General features: G+C 46.4%; 1 protein-coding gene, 1 long non-coding RNA gene and 1 pseudogene across 6 annotated transcripts in view, besides 4 other annotated features; 1 reads left to right on the top strand and 2 right to left on the bottom strand.

Annotated features, from left to right (window-relative positions):
* The window catches only part of CERS6 (ceramide synthase 6), a 318,863-nt gene extending 318,144 nt beyond the window's left edge, over positions 1-719 (bottom strand). For both annotated transcript variants that reach the window (NM_001256126.2, NM_203463.3), the window contains exon 1: positions 373-719. In NM_001256126.2, coding sequence (NP_001243055.1) covers positions 373-542 — 170 coding nt within the window. In that variant the 5' untranslated portion in view covers positions 543-719. The remainder of the gene's footprint in view (positions 1-372) is intronic.
* The window catches only part of LOC102724081 (uncharacterized), a 59,691-nt gene that overhangs the window by 25,131 nt on the left and 26,202 nt on the right, over positions 1-8,358 (top strand). The gene's annotated exons all lie outside the window — the stretch shown is intronic.
* Positions 28-87: a silencer, noted in NCBI's record as "silent region_12080". NCBI's record gives its function as "represses an Ori minimal core promoter by ATAC-STARR-seq in GM12878 lymphoblastoid cells {active_cell/tissue: GM12878}" and the evidence as "EXISTENCE:reporter gene assay evidence [ECO:0000049][PMID:35858748]".
* Positions 538-667: a silencer, noted in NCBI's record as "silent region_12079". NCBI's record gives its function as "represses an Ori minimal core promoter by ATAC-STARR-seq in GM12878 lymphoblastoid cells {active_cell/tissue: GM12878}" and the evidence as "EXISTENCE:reporter gene assay evidence [ECO:0000049][PMID:35858748]".
* Positions 788-877: a silencer, noted in NCBI's record as "silent region_12078". NCBI's record gives its function as "represses an Ori minimal core promoter by ATAC-STARR-seq in GM12878 lymphoblastoid cells {active_cell/tissue: GM12878}" and the evidence as "EXISTENCE:reporter gene assay evidence [ECO:0000049][PMID:35858748]".
* Positions 908-1,127: a silencer, noted in NCBI's record as "silent region_12077". NCBI's record gives its function as "represses an Ori minimal core promoter by ATAC-STARR-seq in GM12878 lymphoblastoid cells {active_cell/tissue: GM12878}" and the evidence as "EXISTENCE:reporter gene assay evidence [ECO:0000049][PMID:35858748]".
* RN7SL813P (RNA, 7SL, cytoplasmic 813, pseudogene) lies at positions 5,385-5,667 on the bottom strand (annotated as a pseudogene).

Genomic DNA, 8,358 nt, shown 5'->3' with positions numbered 1-8,358 from the left:
CCTTGCGTGGCGCGCCGGCGGAGAGGGGCGAGCCCCGCGGAATGCGGCGGGTCCTGAGCCCGACCACCGCTCACCTTTGTTCGCCTGCCCTTGCCGGGAGGAGAGCAGGGCCCAGGAGGAGGGCAGGGGGCGACCCTAACGCTCCGCGGCTCCTCCCCGGCGCCCGGGAGGAAATCCGTGGCAAGCCAGACCCTTTCTGGCTCCCAGAAAGCCAGCGGGGCAGGGGGGTCAGCAACCCCTCCCCGAACACAAAGGTTGGGAGGCGTGAACGCGAGCGTTGGGGGCGCGGGGGCGTGCGCCAGAGAGCGCGCGAGTGTGTGCGCGCGTGTGTGTGCGCAGGGGGAGGGGAGGAGGGGCTTCAGCCCTTCTTACCTCTCGAAGATGAGCCGCACCATGAAGATACAGAAGGCCAGGGGAAAAGCGAGATAGAGGTCCTCAGCCTGCGGGAAGGTGGCCTCCTCCGTGTTCTTCAGGTCCGCCCAGGTGACATTGTGCGGGAGCCAAAACCTCTCGTTCCAGAACCAGGCTAAGATCCCTGCCATCTTGCTTTGTCCACTCCTGTCCTGCGGCACCCGCAGCCCGCCAAGCTCTCCACCGCGCAGGGCGCCCGGGGATGCGCGCCCGGCTGGCCCCGAGCCTGTGCCGCCGCCGCCGCTGCTCCCGCCCGCCGCCGCCGCCTCCTCCGCGGCCGCTGCTCTCGAAGGCTCGCGGCGAGCCCCGGTTCTCTCCTCCCTCTGGCCGCGCTGGGGAAAGGGGCCGCCTTGCCCGTCACATGGCAGCTCGGGCCGCCCGCCCTGATTGGCTCGTCTTCGCGTCAAACAGCGAGGCACACACGCGGCCAACTCGCCCACACCCGCAGGGCAGGGCGCAGTCGCTGCGCCCTGGGCGCAGGGGCACCGCTCCGGGGAGTGTCGCCCGCCCCTGCTCTCACCGCTCTTTCGCTTTGCGCTTAGGGCGACGACCTAAAGTCGACCCCCCAAATCCGCCCTAGCCCCCTGGCTGGCTCGCACATGCTCAGAATGCTGGCTCCTGCCCCGCTGGGGTTTCAGGGCTCTCAGTCCTCTTCCCGTGCGCCCGGAGGCGGTGGGTCAGCAGGTAGGGGCTGCCGCCAAGCTTCAGAACCAGCCCTGCTCCAGGAGGACAGCAAAAAAAAAAAAAGGGGGGGGGAGGGGGAGGGGTAAAGAGCAAAGGAGGAAGTGGGAGGGAAAGGATCCTCCACTCCCGCGCTTGGAGAGGCAGGGTGAAAAATCAGGAACTGAGGCAGGATGGTTTGGCAAGAGCCTTCTGCCTCTGCCCCACGCCTGCCTTTCCCCAATCTTTGACTTTCCGGTCTTTTATACTGCTGCTTCTCATCAAAGTAGCTCCCCCAGGGAACAAGCCCCCCTATATTGATTTATGAGGTGGTACAAAAAATTAGGCACTTAATTGCTATTTGATTATTAATTGCTACTTGATGACGATGATGATGATGATGATGATGATGATAGCAACTGCAGCGTTCTGTAAAACCACCCCTCTCAACTAACCTCTCTGAAAAGGCTGCTAGACCACATTTTGACCTGGCACATCATGAGAACCTCCACTGTGCTACTCGGCAGGCTCATTATTTCTGCCTTTTGAATCTAAAACCTTTAAGGCATTAGGCCTGTGAGGCCTAACCCAGGCACCTTCCCTCCCGCAATGCATTTCCCCATTGATACAGGAGCCATGTGTGAATTCATTCCATGGCCCATGTATACATGGTTCTGGGGCATTTTTGTTCATTTTTCTCACATTCATTTTCTGCCTGGTGCTGCCAGTAGGCTATACTAAACCTTTCCAGTGGGCATATAACCGCACACACACACACACACACACACACAGAGAGAGGGAGTTTCTTTTACTCTTCCCTCCCCTCTTTCCACTCTATCTCTTGAAAGTGAAACTGAAGAATGGCCTATACTGGTGCTTCCAATTTCTCTCCCCTCATTTTCTTTTGAACTTCCATTTGGACATTTGTCTCCTCTGCTGCATTGAAACTGCCCAAGGTCACCTGTGATCTTCATGCTGCTAAACACAAAGGTCAGTTCTTATCTTAGTCCAGGCTGCTTAGACTAGGTGGCTTAAACAGCAGAATTTATTCCTCACGGTTCTGGAGGCAGGGAAGTCCAAGATCAACATGCAGGCAGATCCAGTGTCTGGCAAGGATCCTCTTCCTGGTTTGAAAACAGCTGTTTTCTTGTGTATCCTCACATGGCAGAGAGCACAGAAAGAGGAAACACAGATTAGTGCCCTATCTTCTTATAAGGGCACTAATCCCATTCATGAAGGTTCTACCCTCATTAGCTAATTACCTCCCAAAGACTCTGTCTCTGAATACTATCACATTGGGAACTAGGATTTCAGCATATGAATTTTGGGGGACACACACATTCAGTTCATAGCAGTTCACAACACCTCTGTCAGTAGCATTTGGCCCAGTTGTCAGGTCGTGTGTCTTAAAACATTCTTGACTTGGCTTCCAGAAACCTCACTCTTCTGGGTTTCTTCCTCCTTCATGGCCATTTCTTCTCAGTCTCCTTCCTGGTTACTCCTCACTTTTCTAACCCCTAGAAGTTATAGTGGCCTAGGAGTCAGTCTTTTTTCCTCTTCACTTTTCTATCTGAATGTATTCATTTGGTGATTTTATCCAGTCTCGTGGCTTTTAATGACATCTGTATGCCCTCCAATGTCATGCTAATAGCTCCCATATTTATATCTCTAGCCATGAACTTTTTCCTGACCTTCTGACTCTTAAATCCACTGGCAATTTAACACCACCACTCAGATGTCTAAAAGCTATCTCATGACCAAACTATTAATCTTCCCCTTGAAATCTCTTCCTCCTGTAGTCTTGGCTCAAGCCAAAAATGTGGAGTCATTTTTTCCCCTTCTCTCTTTCTCTCATACCTCCTTTCCAATCCATCCCAAATCCCATCAGCACCATTTTAAAACCATAATCTCACCATCTCTCACCACCTCCCCTGCTACCATCTTGGTCCAAACAACCAATACTTCTAATTCACATTACTCCAGTAACCTCCCAACTCCCAGTTTCACCCTTTGCCCCTCTACAGTCTATTCTCAGCCAGTGTGATCCTATGCAAATTTGTCAGATCACCCCTGGGGTGAAAACCCTGCTTCTTCCTCATCCCTCCCAAGTGAAAGCCAAATTATTCCAATGACCTGTGATATTTGGTTCCGTATTAACTCTGACTTATTTACTCTTCTCTCTCCTTCACTCTGCCTGAGTCCACACTGGCCACCCTGCCCTTACTGGGACACACCAGCTATGTCTTAGAGCCTTTGTGCTTGCTCTTCTCTGTCCCTGGAACTCTTTTTACACGAACATCCATGTTTGCTCTGTACTGATGTCATTTTCTCCCTGAAGCCTTCCCTGGCCACCCTAGTTAATCTACATCCCTCAATCCCCACCACCACTCTTCCTATCTTGCTTTGTTTTTCTCCAAGACACTTACCACCGTCAACACAAGATATATTGTACCTATATCTTCATCAATCATCCACACAGACATGCACTAAAATGTAAGCTTCAGAAAGTTAAAAGATTTGTATTTATTTTATCAACTGTTCTATTCCTAGCACTTAAAAAAAAAAACTGCCCGGCACATTGTAGATACTCAATAAACTACTGAATAAATGAATCAACATTACTCCAACCCCAAAAAGTCTTCTCAAGGAGAAGAAAAAAAATCTGAATAATTGTGTTAAATATTTATATATCCATGTTAGACTCGTGTGTAGAATAGTGTGGGCATAAAGAAGGAATTGGTCAATTCTGGGGTGAGGGAGGTGAGGTGTCATTGAAGTGAGTCTTCATTTGGGAGTAGAAGTCGCCATCACCACTCTAGACCATGTGGTGAGCTTCTCAGTAACACTGGAACATGCCTTGGCACCAGCTGCATTCTCGTAGGCCATAGACAGAGGTTTGTTAAGACCTCTCACCAACTTTGTGTCCGAAAGTCATGTCATGACATGTCATGACATGTCAGAGCCTGGCCTTCTGGGCCAGCCAGACTTCTTCTGTGACTACCCCTGGTTTCTCATGTCACTCCTTCCTGTATGACCTGATAGTACCTTGCTTCCTACTCCATGGCTTCTGTGCTCTCCAGCAGCTCCTTCTATGTCCCCAAGCATGTATAATACTGTTGGTGAGTTAATGCCCTGGGATCTGACTTTGATCATGGGCAATGAAGACAGTAAGTACATTTTTATTCCTTTCCTCCCCACCCCTCGGACACACACAATGGCTTCAAACAGCCTCTCTGAAAATACCCCCTGCTACAAACCCATCATTTTATTTCAAGATTGTGACCCACTCAGTAACTCACCCCCTGATATAAACTCATCATTTTATTTCAAGATTGTGACCCACTCAGTAATTCACCCCCTTATATTTCCTCTCCTCTTTCTCATCTCACTCTCCTTTTCTCTCATTCCTGCTTCCCTGAAACTACACTTCCCTGGAACTTAGAAGCTAAACTAATAGGAGCTAAACTAAGATAATGTGGCTCTCCCATTCATCAACTTTGAGAAGGTGGTGGGATTTCAGGAACATTTTGAAGGGTGAGTTTTGTTGGACAGTAAAAGGAGGATTTAGTACTTTCTATGAATCTTCCATAAGTTCCTTTGTTTCTAAGAGCGTGTTAATACCCTCCTGTGTGATTTGTGCATCAACAGTACCTGTCTTGCCTCTGTCACTGACTGTCATGAGGCTCACATAAGATAACATATGAGAAAGGGCTTGTAAACTATTCTTCTCTATACCCATGTACAGTTCAGCAAACACCTACTCCTCATCTGTCTAGTAGAACTCCTCCAGCCAATGCCCCTTCCTACCACTTTGCATCTAAACGTTTACCCCAGAAACATATTAGAGTAAACTATCATTCCAAATATGATCACATTTTATTGATCCAGGGATGGACAATTGGCCTAACATGGCAATAAAAGCCTTACTCCGGTGTTGTGAGTCGGGTCAAGACTGTCTTTCTCTGGATGCTTAGATTCAAGGATTCCAACTCAGAAGCTGTTGGCCCCCTTGCTTCATTACACAGCTAGAAAAAGCAGAAGCTAGTCTACAACAAGAGAAAAAAAATAAAGCAGACCTGTAGAGTTAAGACCTGCAGAGTTAAAGGTAAGAGACACACAGGGAGTCCTGTTGGCATTGGAGCTCCAGGTTCCATTTAATACCTAGGGGCCAACTACCTTCTCATCCTTAGGTTCTGTGAAACAGCCTCATAGCTTGATAAATTCTGCTTTTGGGTTGAGTTGCTGCTATTTCAGTTTGCAAAAAAATCCCACTATCCAAGACATTACTCTAAGAGCACATGTCTTTTTTTTTAAGAGATGGGGTCTCACTATGTTGCCTAGGCTGGAGTGCAGTCCCACTACTGATGAGCATGGGAGCTTTGACCTGATCAGTTTCCAGTCTGGGTCAGTTCACCCCTCCTTAGGCAACCTGGTAATCCCCTGCTCCTGGGAGGTCACCATATTGATTCTGAACTTAGTGCAGACACCCATTTGGCATAGTGCACTATAGCCCAGAACTCCTGGGCTCAGGCAGTCCTCCTGCCTCAGCCTCCTTCCCAAATAGCTGGACCACAGGTGCATACCACTGTGCACAGCAAGAGTACATGTCTTTAACGCTATCCTGAGCTCAGCTGAGGCCCCAGGGAAGTTAGTCACAGGAGGGGGATAGCACAGCATACCTCTCAAGAAAGCTACTTTGTAAATGTACAGGAAAGACTTCTAATTGGTGCCCCAGGAAACCAAAATACAATTTATGCATCAGACTAATATGTAGCCCAGTGAGAAAGTAAGTAGCTGGTCGGTAAAGGGACAAGGCAAGAGAAAAGGGGAGAAAAAAAAATGTGTTCAGGGGAAGTGACACCAGTTACACTGCATATTAGGAAAGCATGCTTTGTTTTCTGAATAGAAAACATCACCTGAGAATACACCCTGATTTCCAAGCAACTGGAAAATATCAACAAAGCTGAGCTTTATCTCTCATTCTCAGGTCCACACCCAGGTCTTAATTTGAGTTCACATTGTAAGCAGTCTCCACTTTTTTTTGTTTGTTTTGTTTTGTTTTGTTTTGAGACAGAATCTCGCTCTGCCCAGGCTGGAGTGCAGTGGCGCAATCTCGGCTTACTGCAACCTCCACCTCCCAGGTGGTTCTCCTGCCTCAGCCTCCTGAATAGCTGGGATTACAGGCACGTGCCACCACACCTGGCTAATTTTTGTATTTTTAGTAGAGACAGGGTTTCACCATGTTAGTCAGGCTGGTCTCAAACTCCTGACCTCGTGATCTGCCCGCCTCGGCCTCCCAAAGTGCTAGGATTACAGGCGTGAACCACCGCGCCCAGCTGCAGTCTCCACTTTTTAGATGCAGGAGATCAGCCAGCAGTTTGGATGAATTTCCACTATGGGTTGCATAACACAAATCTATATAGTACTTGTTCTACAAAAAGAACATAAAAGCTATTTGGGGAGCAGGATGTGCTCACATGAAAAGCTAGATAACAATACATGCCAACACCACTGAAGATGGCCCTCAACAGTATGTGACAAGTGTGCAAATACTGCAGACAAGAAGCGCTTCCTGCTCAAAGGAGGAAGGAGACATTCTGTTTTGAAGAGATCAAGGGAACTTCAAGGAAGACACAAAAATGAATCAGACTTTAAAGAATAAGTAAGATTTGAAAAGGCATGATCAAAGGTAGAAAGTGAGGAAGATTTGCTGAAGGACAATAAACAAAACATTGCTGGCACTCCAGATTAAAAATGGCCTTTAGGATGAGGCAAAGGAATACTTCTGTTTATTTAGTGAGAACTGTATTTTATCTCTGATCATAGCAATAAGCATGATGCCTGGTACATAATACACACTCAACTATTGTAGGTTTTAAAAATATATACAAATAAAAGTTATTTGTTGCTTAAAACACCAGGAAAATACTAAAGGTAAGCACTCAGTTTAAACACACAATTCATTGATTTTAAAGGAACCTGGTTGTCACTGAGAATAATATGGAAATATTGCTAAATTTTATTTGTACAGTTGTTTTTCATAAGTGTAAAACCTCCTTGCTGTGGTTGGCAAAACTGTCTTAAATCTACACTCATTTTTGTGGTCCATGTACTAATCTCTTGAGTTTTCATTTATACAATATTGAGTGGGAGGTGGGGAGGACTAGTTTGGGCAAGAAATAAGGAGGATTTAGCCCCACAATATGAAGATCACTGATAGCAGTGCAGAAAACGCAGCCTCTCCTGCCATCTTAACATAAGGAAATGAGTATTTAACTCACAGCATTGGAGTTAGGCTGAGTTAAGGTCTGTAACCCAGACGGGAATTGAGTACATGTTATTGCTGGAAGTTCTCCAGCAGGACTTGCTCCCTCCTATGCTCGCATTCTTTCATACAACCATGTCAGATGTTGAAGATCTTTCTCCTCCCTCCTTTATCTTGACAGTTTCTACCTCTGGAAAATCTTTTCTAATACTGACAGCCATCAATTACTCTGGTATTTCTAACTAAACCAAATCTCTGGCTAGATTTTCTGACTTCTCTCTAATAATCAAAATCTATTTAAATGTTAATGTTCCCCTTGCAACTTTCTTCAACCTACTAATGTTGTGTTAGAATCACATTAAAATTTTAACCAGGCCAAATGTGTTGCAAGACTACCAAAGAAAAGTGAGAAACAGCTAGGTTGATCTGACTGTGGGCTATCCAGTTAGAGATTAAATTCACCTAGTTATATATCTGTAACTTTATGCATATGTTCAACCACCTGCTAGACATAATCAGCAATGATGGCATTCTCTGCATATACATATAGGTAAATAGCATTTAGGGGGCAGGTGTCTTTTTCTGTTTCCTGCTGCTATAACATAATACCAAAGACTGGGTAATTTATCAAGAAAAGAAGTTTATTTGGCTCATGGTTCTGGAAGCTAGGAAATCCAAGAGCATGGCACTGGCATCTGGTGAGGGTCATCGCATGGCAGAAGGGATCACATGACAAGCAAGCACATATGAAGACAGAGAGAGATGAATGGGGCTGAACTTACCCCTTTTTAAAATCACGAATCCACTTTTGGCAATAACTAATCCATGCCCAAGACAACAGCATTAATCCAGTTGAGGGCAGAGCCCTCATGGCCTGTTCATCTCTTAAAGGTCCATCTCTTAATATTGCCACAATGGCAATCAAATTTCCAACACACAAACTTTTGGGGACACATTTAGATTTATGAGCCAGAATGCCTAAGTTCTACTTTCCATTATGCAAAGGTTTTTATAATCAAAGA

Source organism: Homo sapiens, chromosome 2, assembly GCF_000001405.40.
Source record: "Homo sapiens chromosome 2, GRCh38.p14 Primary Assembly".
NCBI lineage: Eukaryota > Metazoa > Chordata > Mammalia > Primates > Hominidae > Homo > Homo sapiens.
Note: the sequence above shows the minus strand (reverse complement) of the source record. Positions and strands in the feature narration are given on the sequence as shown.